This window comes from Homo sapiens, chromosome 1 (genome assembly GCF_000001405.40).
Source record: "Homo sapiens chromosome 1, GRCh38.p14 Primary Assembly".
Taxonomy (NCBI): domain Eukaryota; kingdom Metazoa; phylum Chordata; class Mammalia; order Primates; family Hominidae; genus Homo; species Homo sapiens.
The window spans coordinates 16,726,251-16,752,961 of NC_000001.11; the positions used below are offsets into that span (position 1 = coordinate 16,726,251).

The following is a 26,711-nucleotide window of genomic DNA, read 5'->3' on the forward strand; positions in this document are numbered from 1 at the left end:
TTAAGGTTTGTTGGCCAGAGCTGGTGTGTGTCTTGGGTGTTGGGCAAAGAACAGAGAACAGCCAAAGCTCTGCGAGGTCAATGTGAAGGGTGATTTCCTTGGTGGGCTCAAGTTTATGACGCAGCCTGGACCTAGCTTGGCTTCTCAGCTAGAGAAGAAGCATGATTCCATGTCACAGCTCCTGTCTTTGAAAAAGTCATAATGACTCCCAGACCCAACATGTGGGGAAAACTCTGGATTTGTCTCTTCAGTTGAATGTCTCCGTTGAAAATTGAGGAAAGAAATCTCTCTACTATTTGAACTTCATCAAAAGACTAATATGTTAATATTTTGACCGTCAATATTTCCTTAAACTAGTCTACTCCTTTCATAGCTAATACATCAAAGCATATTAACTTAGGAAATGGGATTCTCCCAAACAAGGAAACATTGACGGCAAGGGTTCTTAATCTTTTCACACCACATTTCCTTCAAATGCTTTATACATCTTCAAGCAGACAAATAATAGTATTATAATGATTACGAGACCGATCATTACTCTTTTGCCAAAAAAACCAGCGACAAAAGACTAACTTAGTGGACCAACCTTTGTTTCTTCATTATCTGTACATTGATTCTGTCCTTTTATTTCGTCTTTCTTCTAATTCTGCTTCTGCTTCTTGTTTCCTCCCTGGATTTGAACTTTATTTACCTAAACTACCAGTTAGGTTACCTTCTCAGAACCTCTAAGGCAGCAGTTTGAGATTGACAATGGAAGATTTAAGATTAGAAAAAAGAAACATGAATGAATTTCTGATGTTTTATTATAGGGGTTTATAATGCAGGTAGAAAGACCTTTTTCAGACTTAAGAGTTTGATCCACCAAATGAGCTATTTTGATATTTATAACTTTGTCTAGTAAAAGTTTCCTATAAAAACATTTGGTTTGGATATGTTTGTTAGCTTTTAGTCGACACTTGAAAAAGGCGGTTGGAAGGTTCTAAGTCTTTTTGGATACTCTTTTCTCTTATCCCCCAGGCCGTGGGTGTGTAGAGGCCTTGGTGGTGCAGTGGTAGAATTCTCGCCTCCCACGTGGGAGACCCGGGTTCAATTCCCGGCCAATGCAGCAGGTACTTCTTCATTTCATTATGGCCTTTTACCCGTCTTTTACGCTGCAAAATTATACTGCATAACCTAATAGTGCATTTAGGGGCTTGGCCACCACAAGGTAAAGTGACAACATTACTCACGAGAGTAGCGGCAAGAGACATTCAGGACACTAACCCAGGACCCATGCAATTGTTGGACTCAAACAGCTTAGCAAAGTGGCAAGCACGAAGTCTTTCCGGTGAGTCACTGCAGTTTTGATATTGGTACCTGTTACTTTCATCTATTCACGGGGCGGATCCCTGCAAACCCGAAGAATCATCAGGTTCCTGATTCGCGTGCTGGACCTTGGGCTTACTGCTGAGCCACTGTAGAGAGGATCAAGAAATGACGCTCTTGGAAGGAGAGAAGCTGCGGGCAGGACAGTCACGTCAGAGGTCCAAGAGGCTTCAGCGGCCCAAAGAAAGGGAAGGTGTGTGGGGAAGAATCTGCGTGGAGATGAGGGGAGCGGCGGGGACTGGTCCTTGCGCAGAGGTGGCCAGTGGACCCTCAGGGCTGTACCCCAGACACCGTGAACCGAATTTGCTCACATCGTCAGCGGCCGCGGCCTCCGCGTGCTTTGTGGGCCCATCGGTGTTCTGCGAGGGATTCCGTGTGTCTGGCAATGTCTGTCAACAGGTGTTGGCCTGAAATTTGGCCGGGCACGTTGGCTCATGCCTGTAATCCCAGCACTGTGTGAGGCCGAGGCGGATGGATCGCTTGAGGTCAAGAGTTCAAGACCAGCCTGGCTAACATGGAAAAATCCCGTCTCTACTAAAAATACAAAAATTAGCCGAATGTGGTGGCATGCACCTGCTATTCCGGCTACTTGGGAGGCTGAGGCAGGAGAATCGCTTGAACCCAGGAGGCAGAGGTTGCAGTGAGCCAAGATTGCGCTACTGCACTCCACCTGGGCGACAGAGCGAGACTGCGTCAAAAAAAAAAAAAAAAAGCAGCGAAAGAAGGCAGAGATGTCAATGGGACAAAGAGACCTCCCAGGAGGCTTGTTGTAGAGGCAGTGGGTGGATCCTGGGAGATGAGATTTTTTTAAAATTATGTAGCAGAATGGGGAGAGAAACGGAGAAGCGCATGAAAGAGAGAAAAGCACGAAAATCGGCGGCGTCCAAGAATAAAGCAGATAAAATAGTGTGAGTGTTTTTACATTCAAAAAATAGAAGAAGTGCAATGCTTGTCAGCAGGCTTTGTGGTCGTGTAGTGGTTAATACTTGTAGTTGTGGTTGCCACAACCTGGGTTCTAATCTGAGTCACAGTAGTGTTTTCTAGCCTGCGATTGTGGCTAATAGACCTGTCGTTTGCTTTGCCTTTAATCCTAGCAGCCTCCAGAGAGCAGAGTAAACCTCTGGCCCCGAAGGGCGCCAGCTTCTGGAGTTTAGCCCACAGCGCAGAAACTAGGGGGCGGCCTGGCCGATAGGAAAACTTGGACATGCTCTTTGTCTCACAATTGAGCAGGAAAAATTCCCGTAGGTGAAGATGCCGCCTCTCAAGGGCCCTTTGTCTGTAGCTTCCACTGGTGAAATAATGCGGTTATAGTCTTTTTCGGTAGAGAAAACGGCTGTATCAGTGGAATTTTTTAAAAACACAAAACGAGAACGAGTTTTTAATGAGCTGACAATAAAATCTAAACTAGTTGTCATGGTCTGCACAGGCTTGCCTCCATTCCCCATCTGCTAATTTTTATGAGAACAGTAAATTATTACTATTATCATTATTTTTGAGACGTAGTCTTGTTCTGTCACCCAGGCTGGAGTGCCGTGGCTCAATCTCGGCTCACTGCAACCTGTGTCTCCGAGGTTCAAGCAATGAGAACAGTAAAGAAGCTACAGTTCACATAAAGTGCACAAATCTTTAGTGCAATTTGTTTAGTTTTGATCAATGTTATCACCACCCAGCTCAAGTTATAGAAAATTGCCATCATCTGAGAAAGGCCTGTTAGAGCCCCTGTCCAGGTGATTCCCACCCTGTGTCCTCTTAGTTATCACTATTCTGATGTCTATTCCCACAGGTTACAATTGCCTGTTCTTAAAGTTCACATGAGTGAATGTACATATGTTTTGTGTCTGGCCTTTTTCTCCAGTTACATTCATTATACTCATGAGATATATCCACGTAGTTTCATAGATCACTTCTCAATTTTGGGGTTATTGATTTCTTGTGCTGAATATTCTTATAACAGTCTTTGTGTGCACTTGAGATTCATGGAAGTCCTTCAATTGCTGGGTCATGACCTGAGTATAAGTTTAACATCAGTATAAATTGCCAGTCTTCTAGAATGCTTTTTCGCCAGCGATGACAGTTGAAGTGGCACCAAATTCTTGTCAGCATTTGGTGTACTAACTTTGTTAAATGTAGCTATGCTCTCAGACCAGGCTGGCCAACATGGCAAAACCCTGTCTCTACTCAAAATACAAAAATTAGCTGGGCATGGTGGCATGCACCTGTAGTCCCAGCTACTCCGGAGGGGGATGTTGCAGTGAGTCAAGATCGCACCATTGCACTCCAGCTTGCGTGACAGAATGAGACCCTGTCTCAGAAAAAAAAAAAAAGTAGCCATACACTGGTGAGTGGTTAGTGCTATCTCAGTGTGGAATTAATTTGTATTTGCCTAATGAGCAATCCTATGAAGCATATTTTCTTATGGCTTCCAGCATATAAGAAACTCTCCTTTGCAAAGGCCTATTCGAATATTTTGCCCTATTTTATTTGGCTTAGCTCTATATTACTGACTTACAAAAGTTCTCTTATATATTCAAGAATTGAGTCTTGTTTTGACGTTTTTTAAATTATACTTTAAGTTTTAAGGTACATGTGCACAACGTGCAGGTTTGTTACATATGTATACATGTGCCATGTTGGTGTGCTGCACCCATTAACTCGTCATTTACATTAGGTATATCTCCTGATGCTATCCCTCCCCCTCCCCCCACCCCACAACAGTCCCCGGTGTGTGATGTTCCCCTTCCTGTGTCCAAGTGTTCTCATTGTTGAATTCCCACCTATGAGTGAGAACATGCGGTGTTTGGTTTTTTGTCCTTGCGATAGTTTGCTGAGAATGATGGTTTCCAGCTTCATCCCTGTCCCTACAAAGGACATGAACTCATCATTTTTTATGGTTGCATAGTATTCCATGGTGTATATGTGCCACATTTTCTTAATCCAGTCTATCATTGTGGGACATTTGGGTTGGTTCCAAGTCTATGCTATTGTGAATAGTGCCGCAATAAACATACGTGTGCATGTGTCTTTATAGCAGCCTGATTTATAATCCTTTGAGTATATACCCAGTAATGGGATGGCTGGGTCAAATGGTATTTCTAGTTCTAGATCCCTGAGGAATCACCATACTGACTTCCACAATGGTTGAACTAGTTTACAGTCCCACCAACAGTGTAAAAGTGTTCCTATTTCTCCACATCCTCCCCAACACCTGTTGCTTCCTGACTTTTTAATGATCACCATTCTAACAGGTGTGAGATGGTATCTCACTGTGGTTTTGATTTGCATTTCCCTGATGGCCACTGATGATGAGGATTTTTTCATGTATCTTTTGGCTGCATAAATGTCTTCTTTTGAGAAGTGTCTGTTCATACCCTTCGCCCACTTGTTGATGGGGTTGTTTGTTCTTTTCTTGTAAATTTGTTTGAGTTCTTTGTAGATTCTGATGAAACTACAGATGAGTAGATTGCAAAAATTTTCTCCCATTCTGTAGGTTGCCTGTTCACTCTAATGACAGTTTCTTTTGCTGTGCAGAAGCCCTTAAGTTTAATTAGATCCCATTTGTCAATTTTGGCTTTTGTTGCCATTGCTTTCGGTGTTTTAGACATGAAGTACTTGCCCATGCCTATGTCCTGAATGGTATTGCCTAGGTTTTCTTCTAGGCTTTTTATGGTTTTAGGTCTGACATTTAAGTCTTTAATCCATCTTGAATTAATTTTTGTATAAGGTGTAAGGAAAGGATCCAGTTTCAGCTTTCAACATATGGCTAGCCAGTTTTCCCAGCACCATTTATTAAATAGGGAATCCTTTCCCCATTTCTTGTTTTTGTCAGGTTTGTCAAAGATCAGATAGTTGTAGATGTGTGGCATTATTTCTGAGGGCTCTGTTCTCCTCCATTGGTCTATATCTCTGTTTTGGTACCAGTACCATGCTGTTTTGGTTACTGTAGCCTTGTAGTATAGTTTGAAGTCAGGTAGCGTGATGCCTCCAGCTTTGTTCTTTTGGCTTAGGATTGACATGGCAATGCGGGCTCTTTTTTGGTTCCATATGAACTTTAAAGTAGTTTTTTCCAATTCTGTGAAGAAAGTCATTGGTAGCTTGATGGGGATGGCATGGAATCTATAAATTACCTTGGGCAGTATGACCATTTTCCCGATAGTGATTCTTCCTACCCATGAGCGTGGAATGTTCTTCCATTTGTTTGTATCCTGTTTTATTTTGTTGAGCAGTGTTTTGTAGTTCTCCTTGAAGAGGTCCTTCACATCCCTTGTAAGTTGGATTCCTAGGTATTTTATTCTCTTTGAAGCAATTGTGAATGGGAGTTCCCTCATGATTTGGCTCTCTGTTTGTCTGTTATTGGTGTATAAGAATGCTTGTGATCTTTGCACAAGAATTCTGTATGCTGAGGAGTCATTTTTAAAATAAATATATTGCAAATGACTTTTCCCAGTCAGTGAAAAGTCTGACTGAAAGCTGTCAACTGAAAAATCACACAATTTATAAATTTAGAAGGGAGATTTTATTTTTTATAAATGGTTACAGCCTGCAAGGTGGCCATTCTGACAGACAGGGAGGCATACCCTCTTGCTGCTGAAACCTGAAAAGTACGTTTCCAGGGAGGGGAGGGGGGAACAGGGATTTATGTTGATGTGGTGGGCCACATATACATATTCAACAGGGAATAGGAGGAGCTCTGAATATTCATGAAGGGATCCTGCTGCATGCATGCTGAGTAAACATGCCTGTTACATGCAACCCATGTTCATTTTGGGGTGGAGACAACATTTAAATACATTATAATTAGGCCCTATGCTTCAAAAGGGGAAGCAGGGACACAAAGGCAGTCAAGTGCACAGCCTCTGTAAACCGTCCAGAACCCGTCCACAGCCAGTGCTCTCTTATCAAGGGGAAGTTACTGAAATCAGTCTCTTGTCCAATCAAAGCTGTAGTTATGGCTTGTGTAGGGAGGGCTCAGTCAGTTTATGGTAATGGGTGAGCTGCAAGTGCTTCAGCATTGCTTATCTCAAGGCCAGTGCTTGTTTAGCTAGAGAAAAAAAGGAAGAAGAAAAAAACCTGTGGCAATTGGAACATAGTTTATTCTTTAAGTTGAGGGGCGCATGACTCCACCTTGCCTGGCGTGGCCTTAGGTCTCGTTTATCATACCATATCTTACTACTGCAAGGAGTCTGTTCTGTCAGTCTTAGGATCTCTATTTTAACAATAATGCTGGTCAGTTGTGTCTAAACCACAAAGGGAGAGAGTATAAGGAGAGGTGTCTGAGATTCCAACTACTGGGCAGGAACTCAGTAGTTAAGACTTCTCTGGGGTCTCCTTGGCCAAGAAACAGTCTGTCCAGTTGGTTGAGTGGCTTTGGATTTTAATTTTAGTTCTCAAAGCATTTAATTTGATGAAATTTTGCCATATTTTTTCTTTATTTTTAAAGCCTGTTATGTTCTATAAGAAATCTTTCTACTCAGGATAGTGAATGTATTCTCTTAATTTTATCTCTCTATGAGTTCCAGCGTTTTAGTTTTAATTTTTAAATTGATGACATCTAAAATTCTACTCCTAACCAAAACATTCCTGGGGGTGACCAAGGACAACTCCAAAAATCTTCCATAAATGGAAGTAAGACTTACTCCTTGAAGAACTTACTGGGATCTGGGCCTGCAGGGCACAGTGGCTTTAGTGCACCTCTGCTCTTACGACTATTCAGAAATTGTCTTTGTGAACCCATCAGGCTGTTTCAAAATCAGCAATTTAGGGCTTGCTTGCAACATGCAGTTATGCAGCAGCTGTTTTGTGGATCTGGTGAGTGCCTGCACGCATAGTTCCCCGGGAATTTTCTGAATTTGAATTCTCATGGTATTTCAAGTGGCTCAGTTGTCTCTTTCTTTTCTTTTCTTTTCTTTTCTTTTCTTTTTTTTTTTTTGAGTCAGAGTCTTGCTCTGTCACCCAGGCTGGAGTGCAGTGGCTGGAGTGCAGTGGCGCGATCTCAGATCACTGCAAGCTCCGCCTCCCGGGTTCACGCCATTCTCCTGCCTCTGCCTCCCCAGTAGCTGGGACTACAGGCACCCGCCACCACGCCCGGCTACTTTTTTGTATTTTTAGTAGAGACGAGGTTTTACCGTGGTCTTCATCTGACCTCGTGATCCGCCCGCCTCGGTCTCCCAAAGTGTTGGGATTACAGGCGTGAGCCACCGCGCCCGGCCAGTTGTCTCTTTCTTTTGCCTACTGCCACACACGTACCACCAAATCCTGCACTCCAAGCTGCTTCTACACCCTGGACTCCCAACCTCCAGTTAGACAATCCACATCTTCCCACACCTGCCTCAGGCTCCATCAGGCTACTGTGCCTCCTGCAGCAACCAGGCCAGGGGGAATCTGGATTCCTATTACACTTCTGAGGAAGGTGGTCAGGGAGTGTGGAGGATGTGGGTGGGAGGGGGTGAGGTTGAGGGCAGGAGTACACTGTGGTCTTCTGTCTTCTACCTCATTGGCCCAGGTGCTGCTCTCCCTCCGGTTGTCTGCTTTCAGCCCTGCCTGGGAAATCAGGCCGGCGCCCTGATCTTCCTGACTCTCATTTTGTGAGGAACCTGAACGGATGAGCCATCGCTCTTGTCCCACACGTTCTGTCCAAAAGGTGCCCTCCTCTCTGCTTGCTCGGGGGCCTGCCCTCTGAGCTCTGGCACTCAGGCTGGGATGCCGCCCAGTACAGAGGCTCTGCAGCCCTGCAGGGGTCTGACTGTTCCACACCAGCAGGATAAAGGCCACAGGGCATGCTGTGGTGGAAAAGCATTCAGAGGTGTGGGCTGAAGGCCTCTCTTTCCACAGTCCCTTTGAAGACACCATGGAAGTAGGCACCCCCTTGACAGACAAGGTGGCCCAAGGCCTGGCTTCACATGCAGGCTCTTGGGTCCCAGCGGGTCCTCTCTGTGCCTGGTATAGCCAACTGCTTCACGCATCTTACCCGGTTTCCTCTCCTCCACAACCCAAGCTCCTCCTCGACCCCCTTGCTCAGCTGTCCTCAGGACAGCAAGATCCCCAGCCCTTGGAAAAGCCCATCTCTAGTGCTTGGGGAGGGAGTTGGGTTCAGGTGGTCTAACCACAGAAGAACAGAGAACCTGAGGCAGGAGGAAATCCCTTCCCTTGCTGGGTCTCTTGGCACAGCCCATCCAGGGGTCTGGGTCAGGGTCCAGGTATACTCTACCCTCCTTGAGGACCTGGGTTTTCAGGCCCCCGAGGTTGGTCAATGTGGAGTCTTTCCCACTGTTCATCTGGGAACTGAAGGAATATCCCATGGGGCCCTCTCTTACTCATTAGAGACACCCAGAAAATACTCCATCCAGCAGAAACTGGGTGCAGTGTACCAGACCACTATAATTATAATTGCAGGATGTGGAGGTCAGATACGTTTTGTGGGTATTTTCTCTCTGTCTGTGGCTTGCTTGCCTTTTCGCTTTCTTAGTGGTATCTTTTGATGAGAAGGTGTGGCTAATGTTGATGAAGTCTCATTTATCATGTCTTTCTTATATATGTATTTTTTCTGTGTCCTGCTTGTTGGTAGGCTAATCTTTGCCTGCCAACAAGTCACAAAGTATCCTTGAAATGCTTTATATCTTTAACTTTTAAGTTTTGGTGTGTAATGCGGCTGAAATTACTTTTGTGTGTAACGTGAGGGAGAATAACATTGTTGGTCTCCCCACATCCATATAGAAGTTCATTAATTGAAATGATTTATTTTCTTTTATTGAACTGCTTTTACTGAAAACCCATTTATTGACCGTATAGCTGTGGATCAATTTCAGGTTTTCTAACTCAGGCTGTTTATCCGTTTGTCACTCTTGATGCCTTGTGTCTAATAGCTTATAGTAAACCTTAAAGTCAGATAGTACAAGTCCTTGTTCTTTTCCACACATTGCAATAAATTTTGAAATAGATAATAACTCATGAAACCATCACACACATCAGGATATGCTGTCACTTCATCCCTTTCTGACATGGTTTGGCCGTGCCCTCACCCAAATCTCAACTTGAATTGTATCTCCCAGAATTCCCATGTGTTGTGGGAGGGACTTAGGAGGAGGTAATTGAATCATGGGGGCGGGTCTTTCCTGTGCTATTCTCCTGATAGCCAGTAAGTCTCACTATCTGATGGGTTTCTCAGGGGTTTCTGCTTTGGCTTCTTCCTCATTTTCTCTTGCTGCTGCCTTGTAAGAAGTGCCTTTTGCCTCCCGCCATGATTCTGAGGCCTCCCCAGTCATATGGAAATGTAAGTCCAATTAAACCTCTTTTTGGTCCTGGACTCTGTTATGTATTTGTCAGCAGCATGAAAACGGACTAATACACTCTCATTTCTGAGTGGGACACATGCTGTCACTCACATATGCTGGTTGCTGACTTGTGACGGAAGATTCTCTATTGTACCCTCTGGGGACAATACATCTCCAGTTGCCTGCGGGGAGGATGAACCCTCAAGAGTCAATGTGTTGACTGACTCTAAATATGGGTTCCTGGTGCTCCATGCTCATGCAGCCATAGGGAAGGAAAGGGGACTATCAAGAGCCAAGGGATCCCCCATACGACTTTACTCAGATCTTGGAACTTTTAGATGCTGTCCAACTCCCAAAGAAATAACAATTACTCACTGCAGGGGACACCAGAAGGGAGACACTTTTATTATTAGAGGAAATTCCCTGGTGGAAAGAGCAGCTAAGGCCACAACTAAGGAAACCCTGGTATTTCAAGCTGCTGCGCTACTACCAGGTACTGCATCCGTGTCAGTGACACCATACTATACCCCTAAGGAAATTAAAGGGACTGAGTAAAAGGCTTCCAGGGAGACCCCTCTGGATGGTTGCTACAAAAGAACAAACTCTATTCCTGAGGCTGACAGATGGGAAATAATTAAACATTTTCATGATTCCTCACATTTGGGACGGGATTTTCCATTCAAATTAGTTTCCTAAATATTCTTCGGGAAGGGACTGTTCTAAACTATAAAAAGGGTTACCACTCAGGAAGCCACCCCATACCCCGATCCCTGCTTAAACCTGTACAACACCAAGGAACATACCATGGTGAAGACTGGCAGACAGACTTAACCCAGATGCCACCTTACAGGGAACTACAAGATTTGCTAGTATTTATAGACACTTTCACCAGGTGGATAGAAGCTTTCCCCACAAGGACAGGAAAAGTACTGGAAGTGTCTAAATTCTTAAAGAAATCATTCCAAGATTTGGATTACCAAAAGGTTTGCAAGGTGACAACTGACCTCACTTCACAGCTAAGGTGACCCAGTGAGGTCATGCCTCAGCCTTAGGCATTACCTGTCTTCATTCCTCATGGAGATCTCAGTCTTCAAATAACATAGAAAGCCAATCGCGACATTAGCAAAACTCTTTCAGTTTGGGGGCTTGCCTGCCCTGCGTCACTATCATTGTTTCCTTGGGTTTCCCAGGAATGTACATGTGTGAGACTGCCGCCCTGCTTATAGATCTGTTTCCCTGCAAGGAAACAGGAATATGTTGCCTGTGGCTTCCAGAGTTGGAGATACATGTAGTTGCACCACTGAGGGCTAACATTTAATTTTGGAATCAAGTGATGCATTCAGACTGGTTGCTATCATTCTGTGGTATATATTTAGTGAACACATTCATGATTGAGTTTCTTGCTTTTAGCTGGAGCAAGAAAGTTTTATAATTGTGATTTGTATGAAAAAATCATAGGCAAGGGAATGGATGTAAAATAAACTTTATTGTCAGAGGTTTCTAAAGGCTCATCCTTCAAGGAAAATGGACATATGCTGAAGAGCTGATAAACTGTCTACAGCAGTGTTATTCTAACCTAATCTTGATTCCAAGTTCTTGCCATTTTCCTCCAGCTACTGTTGACTCCAGTTATATATAGGATGGGGGAAAGGGGATTATCTACGAATGTAGGCATCACTTTCTCTTGGGCAGTTATCACATTGGCAGACTGAAGGGAAGTGATTTCTACAATCAAACTATCCATTTGGAGTACAAATCTGGAGTGGCTGTAAAATTCGGTTCTCAGAGATGAACTTGCAGATTCGGACTTTCAATTGTTCTGTTGTTTTAGTTTTTCTCATCAACTGGGGAACTGTTTGTGACTAAGCTTTGTTAAAAGTAGAGAAGAGCTTTTCATAATTCCAACATTAGTTGTTACCTGAAACAAACAAAAACACACACAGAGACAATTAAACAGTAATCTTTGGTGAGGTCTTGCTGATACCTGAGGCTGGAGTGAGAGCTGAGTGGTGATACAGCTCATGTGCGTGATCCAGATTGCGCACTCCTTATGAGACTGTAACTGATGCCTGATGACCTGAAGTGGAACAGTTTCATATGGAAAACATCCACCACCCCCTTCCATGGAAAAATTGTCTTCCATGAAACCAGTCCCTGGTGACAAAAAGGTTGAGGACAGCCAAAAAGGCTGCTTTAAATGATAACCTTCCCCAAAACTAAATTACCCCTGTAAAATGAATGAAAGGCCACCAAGTTAGAAGGATGAAAGGGGCCTGATTTCTACTAAGATGTATGCCTCGTTAAATAATTACCAGCCATTATTCCAGAAGTCACAAGATTGGCAGCTTCCCCAATTACTGCTGTGAAGAACATCACTATTGTAGAACCTAAGATTGGCCTCTTGAGATGTCTTTTCAGGCTTTTGCATTTCTGACTGCTGGAAGGCACCATCTGGCCCGAAAATCAACCAGTCCCTTAGCCCCCACCCAGAAGCTGACTCCATGCAGGAGGGCCATTTTCCACGCCCCTGTGATTTCATCCCCAACAATCAGCACCACGCAAGCCCTAGCCCCCTCCCCACCAAACTATCTTTGAAAAACCCCTTACCTCCAAGCCTTCAGTGAGATTGCTTTGAGTAATAACTCTGTCTCCCACATGTCGTGGCTGGCCTGTGTCAATGAAACCGTTTCCTGCAGTGCCATGGTCTCCATGAATTGAGTTTTTGTGTACATTGGTCAGGAAGAACCCATCAGGCGGTTACATCTGCAGGATGGTGCCAGTTCTTTCCACAAAGGCTGGTCAGATACCCAGAAAACATTTCTCCACTACTACCTGGACAATGTGTCTCCCTGTCAATCTCCAGGGAATGGGGCCTGGATCAAGTATTTAGTATTCAGCAGTTACTACACTGTCACCTAATCCCTCATTTTCAATATTTTGCCATGCTTCCAGTGGCCTAACTGGCCACCATGCCACAGAATCTTTACTTTATGATCTCCAAGGAGAACTCTCCACTCGATGTTTTGTGATTTGAGCAATGGAATAGAATCTGATACTGGTGGGCTGGGGGAGGTCCCTGGACACTGGTGGGATCTCGACCCCAGCCGTGGTGTCCAGGCTCTTGACACCATCGTGAGAACAAAGTCAAAGATGAGTCAGCAGATAGTGAAAGAAGAGATTTATTGCAAAGCAAAAAGTACACACTCAAGAAAGGGGAGCTTGGGCATACCCAAGAGAGAATAATGGGTTCTGGGGTTTCATCTTGATGGGTTTCTTTAACCAAGAATTGGAATATTCACGAAAATTCCTGGGTAAAGGTGGAGATTTCTTGGAACTGTGGTGCCATTTTTACATCAAACACTGGTCTCAGAACTGTCATGGCACTGGCGGGTGTGTGATTTAGTATGTTAATGAGCATATAATGAGGGCCTAGGTAAAACCTCCATCCAATCCAGCACCACGTTGGGTCCACTCAGCCTTAGCCAGCTTGGTCCACACCCTGGTTTTTCAGCGTCTTAACAGCCCACAGCCTCAAGTCATGTAAATCTGCTGCCTAGAATTTGTTATCCTGTGACCACCCTGTAGTATTCCTGTCTGAAATCTACTTGTAAATATTCAAATGGTCTTTCACTTGGGCATTCCAACTTTGCTTACTTCACAGTGTTTCCTGCGTAATATATAAGAAAAGATGATCCAGACATTTGTTAAACATCTCAAATAAGATGTAGCCCAGGTATTTGTGTCAAATTTGGATTATTTTGGTTTCGTCTTTGCAGAATATAAAAAACTAACATGAGGTAAGCACTAAGGTGTGGAGATGGCTGTGCAAGAGATGACAAAGTCCAGCACCACGCTTGAGAGTGTCCAATCATCTCTTCTGGGACAGCATATTTTTCTACAATACGGATTTTTGAAAAAAAAAACAACATCAAAAAAAAAAAAACCTACAAGATTCATGAAACTGGACAACTGTCTTTATAACATTACCAGTGATAAAACCAGTAAGGACGGCTGGTTTGCAGTCATCTAAGCAGCCTCTTTACTTTCATAAATATGGTTTCTCTCTGATATTAAACGGCTTCCAATTGCAAGCGGAATGCTGCATCACAAGGATAAGGATGTGAAGAGAACCGGTTTCTTTTGTAATCCGAAACATTCTAGTCTGCGAATTAAAAGCCATTATTTGAAGAAGGATGCCCCGGCTCCATCTGGCCACCGAAAGGTTGCTCCTTAACACAGGCTAAGGACCAGCTTCTTTGGGAGAGAACAGACGCAGGGGCGGGAGGGAAAAAGGGAGAGGCAGACGTCACTTCCCCTTGGCGGCTCTGGCAGCAGATTGGTCGGTTGAGTGGCAGAAAGGCAGACGGGGACTGGGCAAGGCACTGTCGGTGACATCACGGACAGGGCGACTTCTATGTAGATGAGGCAGCGCAGAGGCTGCTGCTTCGCCACTTGCTGCTTCGCCACGAAGGAGTTCCCGTGCCCTGGGAGCGGGTTCAGGACCGCGGATCGGAAGTGAGAATCCCAGCTGTGTGTCAGGGCTGGAAAGGGCTCGGGAGTGCGCGGGGCAAGTGACCGTGTGTGTAAAGAGTGAGGCGTATGAGGCTGTGTCGGGGCAGAGCCCGAAGATCTCATACTTACCTGGCAGGGGAGATACCATGATCACGAAGGTGGTTTTCCCAGGGCGAGGCTTATCCATTGCACTCCGGATGTGCTGACCCCTGCGATTTCCCCAAATGTGGGAAACTCGACTGCATAATTTGTGGTAGTGGGGGACTGCGTTCGCGCTTTCCCCTGACTTTCTGGAGTTTCAAAAACAGACCGTACGCCAAGGGTCATGTCTTTTTTCGTATTGGTTTGTGTCTTAGTTGTTAATCCTACAGTGGAGGCCTGGGGAATAAGAAGTAACATGTGGCCTGCACGCCATAGGAGAAAAAGCGAGCATCAGCCGTATCGGCTTTGTAACACAAATTAGCTATCGTGAAGTCCGCTCAGCTCTTCCATTTCTACCCTGGCTGCTTTTTGCAGGGATTGGTCCGTGGTCTCCAGTCTCTTGGGTTCTCACCCTGTGTGAAAATCTTCGTGTTTTTCCCTACCCCCCAAGTCACCTCTTACACAGCCTCTGCTTCCAAGCGCAGCCCCCACAGGAGTTTGTAGGATTTCTGTGCTAGCGGGGAGTGTGTTCTCACCTCATAGAGCCAGGTAGAAATTATGCAGATGGGCGCTGTTCTCTGGGAAGAAAGCAGGGCCTTTGGGGCTCTCAGTGTCCCCGTTGGGTTGTAGACATAACACTCTTACTTTGCGTAGGGGAACGGCTCTGCCGGCCCCCAGGTGCCCTAGCGCATATGCATGGAGGCCCGCAGGTCAGAACCGCAGTCTCACCTGTCTTGGCGGAAATGCCCTGCGATCCTCCCGGAGATAGAAGGCGGGAAGTTTTATGAGGAGCCGGTCCAGTTTCCCTACTATCTCCTGCAGTTCATATATCTAGTGTTTCTTTAGACTTTAAGCGACTGCTTCATGTTTGATGTCTCACTCCCACATCCTACATCCACTGCCAGCCAACTTTATAGATAGCACCGTGACCCATCCTTCCCACCCCCAAGAAGCCCTTTCCTATTTCTGGTGCCAGTGTCCTCCCCAGTCCCTCTTTCTTCAGGCCCTCGCTTATCACCTTCATGGACAGAAAATACTTAGCTCTCTCTCAACCTGAGGTTTACACCTGACACGCATCAGTGCCCTGGCAAATTCCTTAATACCCCTTCTCAAATGGCACTGTAAATCATCTCTTTTTAACTCCCAGAACTATCTAATTGGTTTTGTCCCTGCACTACATGAACACTAGTATTCCACTACAGAGGAAAACCCCAGGCCTAGCGATAGCGGTTCTGGGCATTGTGCCAGCCTCTCCCAGGGTATGTTTTCTGACCTCACCTACTTTTGATCAGCTGAGGTCAGGAGTTCAAGACCAGCCTGACCAACATGGCAAAACTCCGTCTCTACTAAAAACACATACACACGCACAATAATAATAATAATGATAATAATAATAATTGCCGGGCGCAGTGGTGTGTGTCTGTAATCCCAACTACTCGGGAGGCTGAGGCAGGAGAATCGCTTGAACCCGGGAGGTGGAGGTTACTGTGAGCCGAGATCGCGCCATTGCACCGCAGCCTGGGCAACAGAGTAAGACTCTGTCTCAAAAAGAGAAAAAAAATTAGTGCATCTGAGACATATTATTGGAGACAGTAGAATCCTGCGTCCAACAGGCACTTGGTGCAGATCTGAACCCATTGAGCTATTGGCTCATGTTCCCTATGTTCTATTAAGTATCATGAGCAGAAATTGAGCTCTTTGGCTTTTACCCACTGAGTATGGCTATAGGACAGGTCTCTCTCTCTCTCTCTCTCTCTCTCTCTCTCTCTCTTTCTCTCTCATTCTTTGCATCATTATTTTTTGCCATCAGTGTGGGTTTTTGGTTTTGAGGTTATGAAGTGAATTTCTGGGGACAATCTCTGTTGGGTCGTGTTAACAAGGATCCAGTCCCTGTTTGGTGATACATGACAGCTAATCTGGTCTGTGAGTCTTCTTTATTGTCTATTTATTGTCCTGAGAATAATGGCATTTCCTGATATTTGAGACTGCAGCAATGATAAGTTGTTCAGATCTTGTCTTTCCAATGTTTGGTAAACATTTTATAGGCCCAATTTTTGTCAATATCTGCAAGAGTGGCATCTCTGTTACAAGAGTGATCTTACTACTCGATGTCCCCCCTCCCACCCAACTTCATTTCCTAGGGGCTCTTGGCTTTAACGAATTTACTGTATCTAAAAGACATCTTAGTACAGGAAGAAAACTAAATCTGTAGCATGTAAGGAGCAGTTTTATTTGATTGGTATATTCAGGTTTCTAACCAGCTGAAAAATTCAAATACATGCCCTTTAAGGATTAAGTTTAAACCACACTACAGAAAGAGAAAAGATTTATATGATCACATATAAGCAATGGAATCAGCAATATGAGTACTTTTCACAACTATACAAATCAAATTTAATAATCTCCAGAACATTAAGGAAGTTCAGCCCTTAATGGAAATGAATGAAAAGAAATTATTCACCCACTGTTACATGCCCTGGAAAGAGAATGTCCTGCCAGACTCAAAAGAGTATCACAATATTACTCAGATTTTCAGCAATGAAGGCCCTCCGAGGATCTAATGATGTTCATATTTTCAGTTTATTTCCTTCACTGATAAACATTGTTAATAGATACCATTGCCTCTGTTTGCACTTTAAGTGATGTTACTTAGAACAATTCGTTTCTTTAGCATGCACCCTAGTTTGGTGGAAGGAATTTTCCTTCTTTTCAAATATAGGATATTTTCTCATGAAACAAATTGGCATACTCTTTCAGTGAAGTGAATAGACAAATTAGATCTCTACAATTGTAAAGGAGTCACTGCCCCAATTATCTTAGGAACAATAATAATCACTTATATAAAATTAAAATAAGAAAATTAAGCCAGGTATGGTGGCTCATAGCTACAGTCCCAGCACTTTAAGAGTTGGAGACCAGCCTGGGCAACACAGTGAAACCCCTGTCTCTACAAATTTTTAAGTATTAGCTAATTTTTTAAAGTTGGCCGGGCATGATAATGCATGACTGTAATCTCAGGCTGCAGTGAACTATGATTGTGCCACTGCCCTCCAGCCTGAGTGACAGAATGAGACTCCCAACTCAAAAAAAAAAAAAAGGAAAGAAAATTAAGAATTTGTTGAAAATTGTTTTACTACAATGCTAGGCTGCATGTCTTGCACCTGTACTCCCAGCAACTCAACAGGCTGAGGCGGAAGGATTGCTTTAGGCCAGCAGTTGGAGACCAGCCTGGGGAACAGGGCATGACATCATCTCTAAAAAAATACAAGGCAAGCTGAGCCAGGAGGATTGCCTGAGCCCAGAAGTTCCAAGTTGGTCAGCTATGATTGCCCCACTGCACTCTAGCCTGGATAACAGAGCAAGACCCTGTGCCTTATTTTTAAATTTATGTTATTTTTTTACTACTTATGCTTATTTATCTATTTATTTATTTTTGAGACAGAGTCTTGCTCTGTAGCCCAGGCTAGAGTGCAGTGGTGCCATCTCAGCTCACTGCAAGCTCTGCCTCCCAGGTTGAAGCTATTTCCCTGCCTCAGCCTCCAGAGTAGCTGGGATTATAGGCACACGCCACCACGCCCAGCTAATTTTTATATGTTTAGTAGAGACAGGGTTTCATCATGTTTGCCAGGCTAGTCTCAAACTCCTGACCTCAAGTGATACACCTGTCTCGGCCTCCCAAAGTGCTGGGATTACAGGTGTGAGCCAACTCGCCCAGGCTCCTTATGCTTGAAATGTGAGGTTTCATTAGGGAAAAATTTTCTTGTTGAATTTCTAACATGAAAAAATAATAGATTTAGCTGTAGATTAAATTAATGGTCCTGGTAGTTTGGTACAATAAAATAAATGAAGTTGATAGCAGAGAGGAATCTTTGATGCTTTTGAACAATTTAAATAATGTAATATTTTTTATATAAAGACATGAAAAAGTTCATTACATTATTATTATATTTATTTATTTATTTATTTATTTTGAGATGTAGTCTCACTCTGTCGCCTAAGCTAGAGTGCAGTGGTGCAATCTCGGCTCACTGCAACCACTGCTTCCCGGGTTCAAGCAATTCTCCTGTCTCAGCCTCCTGAGTAGCTGGGATTACAGGCACACACCACCACACTTGGCTAATTTTTGTATTTTTAGTAGACACGGGGTTTCACCATGTTGGTCAGGCTGTCTTGAACTCCTGACCTCATGATCCTCCTGCTATGGCTTCCCAAAGCGCTGGGGTTACAGGCATAGGCCACTGCACCTGGCCCATTACATTATTTTTTAAAAATCAGTGTGACTCTTTTGACAAATTAGAATGGTTTAATAATCTTGGTTAGGCTGGGCATGGTGGCTCATGCCTGTAGTCCAAGCACTTTGGGAGCCCGAGGTCAGGAGTTTGAGACCAGCCTGGCCAACATGGTGAAACCCTGTCTCTACTAAAAATACAAAAATTAGCCGGGCATGGTGGGGGGCTCCTGTAATCCCAGCTACTCAGAAGGCTGAGGCAGGAGAATTGCTTGAACTCAGGAGGCAGAGGTCGCAGTGAGCCAAGATCACGCCATTGCACTCCAGCCTGGGGGGGCAACAGAGTGAGACTCTGTCTCAAAAAAATCATAAATAAATAAAAATAAAGTATAAAAAATTAAAATTACGTGTTCAAATACATTAAATATATGGCAATGAAAAGGAGGCCTAGCATGACTGACTGCATTTTGCTCCTAACCCTTCCTACCGTGTGGTGACATCTTCCAGGCTAACTGCTTTTTCTTATTTCTGCACATAGGCCAAGCTATCTATGGGAGGGATTTAGCTTACAGTTTAACTTTAAAGCACAGATGATAATAATCCCTTCCCCAAACTAACTCCTGAGAAGATAGAGAGGTTGTATACACAAGTAACAGTGTTATGCTGAAGATTTATAAGAGAAGTGTGACCTGACAAAGGACCAACAATTTTCACCATCCCCTTGGGCTCTCACTGCAGCCCATGTCTGTCATTGTCAGACCTCTTCACCTCAATCGCCTCCTTCTTCCTCCCTTCCCTAATGTACAAGGAGCCGGAAAATAGTATTAATTTAAGATGGTTCTTCAGGATGTTACTTCACCATCTGTTCAGTTTGGTGGCTCTCTGGAATAAAGTCACCTTCCCTGCCCCTACACCTCAACTCTCGACTTATTGGCTGTCATGCAGCAAGTGGTGAGTGCAGTAAGCCGAGATCACACCACTGCACTCCAGTCTGGGTGACCCTGTCTCAAAAAAAAAAAAAAAAAAAAAACAGAGAGAGAGAGAGAAATTTGGTTTTTGAACCAGACAAATTAAATAGGAGACTTAATTCCAATGAGACCTAGAAATGTCTAAATTTCTAAAATTTCTAAAAGAACTGAGAAAATTGCCTCCATTGAGGAAGTAAGCTGAAGGAGGTAGACTGTCATGTTTTCTGATTTGAGAAATATTGAGGAGGCTTTGTCTCTTTCACCTCCAACTGCTCCTTCTCCTCCTGCCCCTGCACCTGCATAGTCTTTCTTACCTGAGCCTTCCTGTCCTGCCTTGCCTCTTCTTCCATCACCATCACCTAAGGAAAGTCCCCAGGGATCTGGTCCCTTCCCTGAAACTTCTGTTCTGACAGCCCCTTTCAAGGTAAAACCCAAACCCACAGGAAGAGGGGAGCCTACCGTTGTGTATACCACTTCACCAAAACGTGAATTAAGAATATTATAAAGGACTTCCCTGATCTAAACTTAAATACATTTCACTCTTCTGTTTCTAAAGCAGGCTCCAAGATCCTGTAGGCTTTGGCAGAAAATTTGACTTAACTGTTGAAACCTTTGAGCCCAAATATTCTGATCTTTATCAATTAACTCACATGCTGGTGAAGAAGGGAAGGCCACTAACTGGTTGCAAAAGGTAAATTGGAAGGATTTTCAAAAAGGGACTGAAGCAGAACATGAAAGGTTCACATTTTCACCAAATATCTCCAAGTTGCCATTCCCCAGGTCCTTCCTAAAAATATAGATTGGAGGATAATTCAGCATTGTACTAAAAAGCCAGACAAATCTGTCTTTGCTTAACTAAAATGGTTTGAGAGCCAGGTGTGGTAGTTCATGCCTGTAATCCCAGCACTTTGGGAGGCTGAGGCGGGTGAATCACTTGAGGTCAGGAGATTGAGACCAGCCTGCCAACATGGTGAAACCCTGTCTCCACTAAAAATACAAAAATTAGCCAGGTGGCTACTCAGGAGGCTGAAGCAAAAGAATTGCTTGAACCCAGGAGGTGGAGGTTGCAGTGAGCTGAGATCCTGCTACTGCAATACAGCCTGGGAGACAGAGCGAGACTCTGTCTCACAAAGAAAAAAATAAAAAGAAAAAAGAAAAATAGAAAAAAAAATAGCAGGGTAGTAGAAATATAATGCACACAAGAATGATAATCATGAAGACAATCTGATTCTACAAGAGTAAGGGAACCTATTCCATTAGAGAGCCAACTGAAAACATCAAATCCCAGTTCACACCCCAGGGTGTGGGGTCACGTGCCTGTAATCCCAGCTACTCGGGAGGATTAGTAAGGAGGTTTGCTTGAATTCATGAGGTCAAGGCAGGAGTAAACCCTGATCATGCCACTGCACTCCAGCCTGGGTGACAGTGAGACCTTGTCTCAAAAACAAACAAACAAACAAACAAACAAAAACCCACAAAACCAAACAACAACAAATTGCCACCTCACTCTGAAATCACAGTGGCAAACATCACTTTGCTATTGACAAATTAAAAGAAAAACACTCCCTCTTGCTATCAACCTGGCCTCTTGCTCTAACATGTCTGACCCATGGTTTAAAATGCCCAAAAGCTGATGTCCTCAAATTATAATACACTTACCTATTCTGCACCAGCATTTATTTTTGTCTGGAGGAGATCACCATCCATGGTCCTGTAAATGTCTAACAGCATGGAATGATGAAGGGCAGTGTCTTTTAGGATATTTGGTTATATCTATATATATGGCTCTGAAGAAACCCAACACTGGGCGAGTTCCCTCAAACTTTTCACTAGGCATGACCACTGCTGTATTTTAGATAGAGATTCTGTGGGGCAAAACCTGAGAATTATCTGCCTGGCTATCTAGAAGATAGCTCCTTGCATTTTTTGGGGGAGAACACTTTTGCTTCAAGGGAGTGTTTCCTCCCAGGATTAGAAATCTTTCTGTAACCTCAGGAAACATTGCTGATGAAAACCAGGCATGGTGTGCTGTACAACTTGTAGTAATAAGGCAGAAGTTAAAAGGAAAAGACAGGTTCCCTGTACTTGGCTGACTCCAAGACCTGCCATAGATAGAGCCCTAGCAGATCCTCGGTAACACGATCTGAAAAGTCAGAGCCGCGAGGAGTGAGTTCCGGAGACTCTCTCAACACAGTAAGCCCCAACAAAGATAAGAGGAAAAAACAACAAATGCCTTTACTACCTTCTCTTTCCCCCTTCCCATTTCTAATTATTCAAGTTTTGTTAAGTTCTTGATTTCCCTTCAGTGCAGCTGCAAGGTCACCAGCTATACTTGCATTGCAAGACCTGTGACAGTTTGATTAGCTGCCTTTGTTCTGCTTCTATAAGCCCTCTTGCCTGCCCCCGAGTTTCATGCCATCAAATTCCCGCCGCGCCATTCAAACTAGCCGACCCCCTTTCAGAAGTGTCTATAAAGTTAAGCCCTGTCTTTGTTCGGGGCTCAGCCTTTGGATTTTCATCTGCTGGGCCTCAGTGCAGTCAATAAATCCTCCTGTTCCACCCATTGGTCTCTCTGTTCTCCTGATTCCCACAACAGTAGTAGGGGACTGCGTTCCCACTTTCCCCTGGTCTTTCATGGTATGAATAATGGACAGCATTTTTTTTTTTCACCTATAGTCGCAGGCTCGGTCTCAGTGATTGTATGCTGTGGTCAGCTGTTTTTGTTTTTGTGAGACCTTGCTTTCTTGTTTACTGTCCTGGGACAGATGTCTGTAGTCACTTGTTTCCTCGGGAGGCAAATTTCAGTCTCTGTGGGGGAGGTCTCCCATGTTAGCTGTGGTGGTACTTGGCAGGCAGAGCTCAGGGATCTAGGCTTCCGTGCTTTGTAGATTGCTCAATGGTCCCCAAGGCCTAGTGGCTTTTAACACCACTTGAAAACCTTAGTGTTTTTCCACTGTCCCCAGAGTCACCTCTTACACAGCCTCTTTTTTTGTTTGTTTGACTTTTTCTCTGAGAGACAGTCTCACTGTATCTTGGTTGAATCGATCCTCCCACCTCAGCCTCTGGAGTAGCAGAGGCACGAGTCACCACAGCCGGCTTATATCTGTTCTTGTTTTTGTTGTTGTGGTGGCTGTCTTGTTTTTTTAAGAGTTGAAGTTTCTCCATGTTGCCCAGGCGACGTGCTCCCGGCGAAGGAGGCCGCCTGCCTGGGGGCGGGCTGGAGCCACGTCCCAGGGCTGGGGGCGCTGTGGGCACTGTGGGTGCCGCACCCACCGCTGCCCGGCACTGGAGGCCAAGAGAGCGTTCCCGACGGGCTCCGCGGATGCCCCGCCGCGTCCTGCTGCCCATCCTGCCCGGGTTGTCGCGGGCCGGGGGCACGACAAGAGGCCGGGGTCTGCCCGGACGCAGCGGCCTGCAGGGCGCAGCTGTCCCTCCACCAGCCGGGGTCCCCTCGCTCAGCCCATGAGACAAATAAATGAATACATAAATAAATAAATAAATAAAAGATGGAGTCTTGCTCTGTCGCCCAGGGTGGAGTGCAGTGGTGCGATCTCGGCTCACTTCAACCTCTGCCTCCCAGGTTCAAGTGATTCTCCTGCCTCAGCCTCCTGAGTAACTGGGATTACAGGTGCATGCCACCACACCCGGCTAATTTTTCGATTTTTAGTAGAGACGGGATTTCATCACGTTGGCCAGGCTGGTCTCGAACCCCTGACTTCAAGTGATCCACCCGCCTTGACCTCCCGAAGTGCTGGGATTACAGGCATGAGCCACTGCACCCAGCCAGAAGTGGGCATTAATATGCAGGCGCCGTATAGGGCAACATCTGTGTGCACCTCTTACAAATCTTAATGCTGTGTATATGAGGGGAGTCCTTCGTGTCCCCCTGGGGATGTTTGAGGTTGCCTGTATGTGTTATGTGTGTGCATATTTTTAAGCTCAGATATGCATAGGCGGATTGACACCTCTGTTTGAATGTATTCCCATGAGCTCATGCCATTAATTCACCATCACAAGAAATATTTACTGAGCGTGAGCCATGCCATTCCACAGACACCATTATAGCACTAAGATACAATGAGGAACAAAAAATCCAGGCTTTCTGAGCTCACACTGGGGTGGGGGCATGGTGGGAAGACACAGGCATCAATGTAATAAACAGAAACCACGACAGGGCTAAGTGTTCTGGAGGAGAGGCGCATGGTGTACTGAGGCCCCTGACGTAGACCCCAGGTGCACCTTTGAGCTTTGCTTGCATGGTTTGGGTTTGTGGGCTCACCTGCATGTGTCCATGCATGCCCCATCTGCGTGCCCGTGCATGGCTGCATCACCCCATGCACACGTGCACTGCCCCTGGGCTTGCCCACATGTGCTGCTCCCCAGGGCGCCAGGCTATCAGCCTACAAGGCATTGTGGGTCTGGGCCCAGCCTGCCACCCCCTACAGAGGCCTGAGCCTGCCTTCCCAGGAGGCCCAGGACTCTCACCCAGGGCCCTTCCCTGCAGCTGGAGCAGGCTCTGTGGCTGCAATCTGGTGAGCTGGAGACGCAAGAGCCCAGGGGGCTGGTACTCCAGAGCGTGGAGTTGCGGAGGCAGCTGCAGGAGGAGCAGGCCTCCTAGTGGCGCAAGCTGCAGGCCTACCTGGAGGGCCAGCAGCGGCAGGCCCAGCTTGTGCAGCGGCTGCAGGGCAAGGTCAGGGCCACCCATTCCTGCTCTTTCCCTCCCACGTGTTCACTTTGCCCTGCCCCCACCCCTGGGGCTCACCATCAGCTCCCAATCCCCAGATTCTCCAGTACAAGAAGAGGTTCTCGGAGCTGGAGCAGCTGTTGGAGAGATCCGGAGAGCTGGAGCAGCAGCAGCTGAGGGTGGGTGCCAGGGTGGGGCAGAGGCAGGCCCTGCCCTCCACCTGCCCAGCCTGATGCTTTAACCTCTCTGCCACCCAGGACGCAGAGCACAGCCAAGACCTGGAGAGTGCCCTCATCTGGCTGGAGGAGGAGCAGCAGGGAGGGCCAGGGCTGGCAGCATGGCCCCCTGGGCGAGCGCCTACTGATCCCCTGTGCCCCATTCAGGAGTGCCAGCCTGGCCCAGGTGAATGCCATGCTCTGAGAACAGCTGGACCAGGCAGGTTTGGCCAACCAGGCTCTGAGTGAGGAGATACGAAAGGTGACCAGTGACTGGACTCGCAGCTGCAAGGAGCTGGAGCAGTGGGAGGCGGCATGGAGGCGCGAGGAGGAGGTGGGCATGGGGGTGCAGGGAGGCCGGCGATATAAGAGGAAGATAATGCACAATTATGCTAGTGAGACTCTCTTTTCCAATAATGTTTGCACTTCTCAATACTACATTTAAAAAGGAAATAGGAGCACTTGAACGGTTAAGTAAGAAGATGAACAAAATTGAACAGAGGAAAAATAACTGTCTGAAGACATGTTGAAAATACATTTAAAGACAGTCTGTCTGAGACAGGAGCTGAGCTGGCCAATCCATCTTTTAAATCATTGAACATCATTCAGGTGTCAAGTATTTGACCTGGAGCCTGGAAGGGGAGGAGAGAGTCCAAAAAAAAGTCAAAATATAAAGAAAAAAAATTAAAGAACTTGTCCCACAAATCAGGCAACCAAGGTCTAAACTTATACCCTCTGCCTGGGTAAATTGTTGTTGCTTCTTTCTGTGACTCTTAAAAGATGTACCATATACCTCATTTAATGACTTTGCTTTATTCATGAAAACTCTATCCCCATGGGAAAAGCTGTTAAATGAAAAAAGATTTCTTTTAAGTAGAAAAATTATGAAAGGATTCCTTCCAACCCTCCATACCCAAAATATCTCAAATGAATTATGTATCTATCAATTATCAATATATATCAAAATATACCAATTAAAAATATCAGTTAAACAATACGTCAATTGAACTATGAAAGCAAGCTTATTTAAGTAGCAAAGAATAACGTGAAGGTTAGTAAGTATAGCTTATACTTAAAATACAATGAATTGAAAGCTCATGGCACTTCATAGAGTAGGAAGAAGAAACTTAATAGAAAGTGGTAGTTGGGCGAGAAGGACTGCAAGGGAGTTATTTGGAAAATGCATTTTTTATTTCTGCATCATTTTGTTCACAAATTATTCCTAATCTTTTGTGAATTTGTGGATTTCTTGAACTCAAACCAGACTTAAAAATACAGTTATAGCACAGAAAAAAATCTTTAATGGCAAAATAAAAGCTAAGCAAGAGAGCCTTTCAAAACACATGAAAATAACACACACATACAAAAAAAAAAGAATAAAGAGATGTACAAGTGACACCTCCTCAACCTTCTCACTTGGTGTACATATGCACAGTAAATTATTTTGGGCTCAGCCAAGCATGGGAGCAATTCAAATAGATCCATATGATATTCTCTGATTAGAAACTCTTGTGGAGTAAGTTGGTGAGTGTATCTTTGCCTAAAACAGTCATGTCAAAATATAGCTTCCTATAGCATATTTATTTAGTATCATTTTGGTGAAAAAGTGGTTATACAGAATAGAAAAGAGTTGTCCAAAACTAAGTGGTTGACCTTTCCAGAGCCATTACCTGCAGAATTGTTATGTAAGTCTGTTCCATACTCATAAAGGAATACTCAGCTGACCCAACTGATTTTCTCGTGTTTTTTCCTTCAAGGGCTAGTAGAAGTCTATATGTTGTGGTGGAAAACAACCTCAGCCCTATAGTCCAACATTTGCCTATCAAAACTTGTCCTATGATTTATAAAACTAGAACCTCACTGGTAAGTCACATTCCTAGAGTCTCCCCCATCCCTAACCCCAGTCACGGAAAATAAATCAAATCATTGTCACTCTTTCTTAACAAAGAGCATACATTTAAAACTTGAGTAAAATTACAGGTACCGTCTGGGTCCTTCAAGGGGGAACTTGAAGTCTCAATACCGCAGTTGTCCAATCAGAGGATCCAAGATGAATATACTCAAGGACTTTATGCTTGGCATCCTCTGGAGACAGTACATAACCACCAGCTTGGTTTAACTGGAGATTCATTTGGGTTAGGAGAAATTATGTAGGCAATGTACTTAGTCAATGGAGGCCTCATCCCTGAAGACTTACAAGAATCTGAATTCGTATGTTACTTTTCCTTTAATGGAGTGGAATTCCAAATGAAAATAATCAAACAGCATGTGCATAAACATTAGATATAATACCCACATTTACAAAGCCTTTATAGATATGCAAGTGTTATT

At 44.7% G+C, this 26,711-nt stretch overlaps 1 long non-coding RNA gene, 2 other non-coding genes and 1 pseudogene across 3 annotated transcripts, besides 7 other annotated features; 3 read left to right on the plus strand and 1 right to left on the minus strand.

The window, feature by feature from the left end:
* TRG-CCC5-1 (tRNA-Gly (CCC) 5-1) lies at positions 1,035 to 1,105 on the plus strand. The gene has a single exon. It is a non-coding gene; the product is annotated as a tRNA-Gly (tRNA).
* Positions 1,036 to 1,647: an enhancer, noted in NCBI's record as "H3K27ac-H3K4me1 hESC enhancer chr1:17053781-17054392 (GRCh37/hg19 assembly coordinates)". NCBI's record gives its function as "activates a minimal SCP1, AML or CMV promoter by ChIP-STARR-seq in naive H9 embryonic stem cells {active_cell/tissue: H9 hESC(naive)}" and the evidence as "EXISTENCE:reporter gene assay evidence [ECO:0000049][PMID:30033119]".
* Positions 1,648 to 2,257: an enhancer, noted in NCBI's record as "H3K27ac-H3K4me1 hESC enhancer chr1:17054393-17055002 (GRCh37/hg19 assembly coordinates)". NCBI's record gives its function as "activates a minimal SCP1, AML or CMV promoter by ChIP-STARR-seq in naive H9 embryonic stem cells {active_cell/tissue: H9 hESC(naive)}" and the evidence as "EXISTENCE:reporter gene assay evidence [ECO:0000049][PMID:30033119]".
* LOC124903859 (uncharacterized) lies at positions 11,100 to 14,235 on the minus strand. Its single transcript, XR_007065503.1, has 2 exons — positions 12,240 to 14,235; positions 11,100 to 11,550 (listed from the first exon to the last, which is right to left on the minus strand). It is a non-coding gene; the product is annotated as an uncharacterized LOC124903859 (long non-coding RNA).
* Positions 12,222 to 12,722: an enhancer, noted in NCBI's record as "H3K27ac hESC enhancer chr1:17064967-17065467 (GRCh37/hg19 assembly coordinates)". NCBI's record gives its function as "activates a minimal SCP1, AML or CMV promoter by ChIP-STARR-seq in primed H9 embryonic stem cells {active_cell/tissue: H9 hESC(primed)}" and the evidence as "EXISTENCE:reporter gene assay evidence [ECO:0000049][PMID:30033119]".
* Positions 13,620 to 14,541: an enhancer, noted in NCBI's record as "OCT4-NANOG-H3K27ac-H3K4me1 hESC enhancer chr1:17066365-17067286 (GRCh37/hg19 assembly coordinates)". NCBI's record gives its function as "activates a minimal SCP1, AML or CMV promoter by ChIP-STARR-seq in naive H9 embryonic stem cells {active_cell/tissue: H9 hESC(naive)}" and the evidence as "EXISTENCE:reporter gene assay evidence [ECO:0000049][PMID:30033119]".
* RNU1-4 (RNA, U1 small nuclear 4) lies at positions 14,266 to 14,429 on the plus strand. The gene has a single exon (NR_004421.1). It is a non-coding gene; the product is annotated as an RNA, U1 small nuclear 4 (small nuclear RNA).
* Positions 15,493 to 15,993: an enhancer, noted in NCBI's record as "H3K4me1 hESC enhancer chr1:17068238-17068738 (GRCh37/hg19 assembly coordinates)". NCBI's record gives its function as "activates a minimal SCP1, AML or CMV promoter by ChIP-STARR-seq in naive H9 embryonic stem cells {active_cell/tissue: H9 hESC(naive)}" and the evidence as "EXISTENCE:reporter gene assay evidence [ECO:0000049][PMID:30033119]".
* Positions 22,241 to 22,741: an enhancer, noted in NCBI's record as "H3K27ac-H3K4me1 hESC enhancer chr1:17074986-17075486 (GRCh37/hg19 assembly coordinates)". NCBI's record gives its function as "activates a minimal SCP1, AML or CMV promoter by ChIP-STARR-seq in primed H9 embryonic stem cells {active_cell/tissue: H9 hESC(primed)}" and the evidence as "EXISTENCE:reporter gene assay evidence [ECO:0000049][PMID:30033119]".
* Positions 23,462 to 24,293: an enhancer, noted in NCBI's record as "H3K27ac-H3K4me1 hESC enhancer chr1:17076207-17077038 (GRCh37/hg19 assembly coordinates)". NCBI's record gives its function as "activates a minimal SCP1, AML or CMV promoter by ChIP-STARR-seq in naive H9 embryonic stem cells {active_cell/tissue: H9 hESC(naive)}" and the evidence as "EXISTENCE:reporter gene assay evidence [ECO:0000049][PMID:30033119]".
* CROCCP4 (CROCC pseudogene 4) lies at positions 23,985 to 24,714 on the plus strand (annotated as a pseudogene).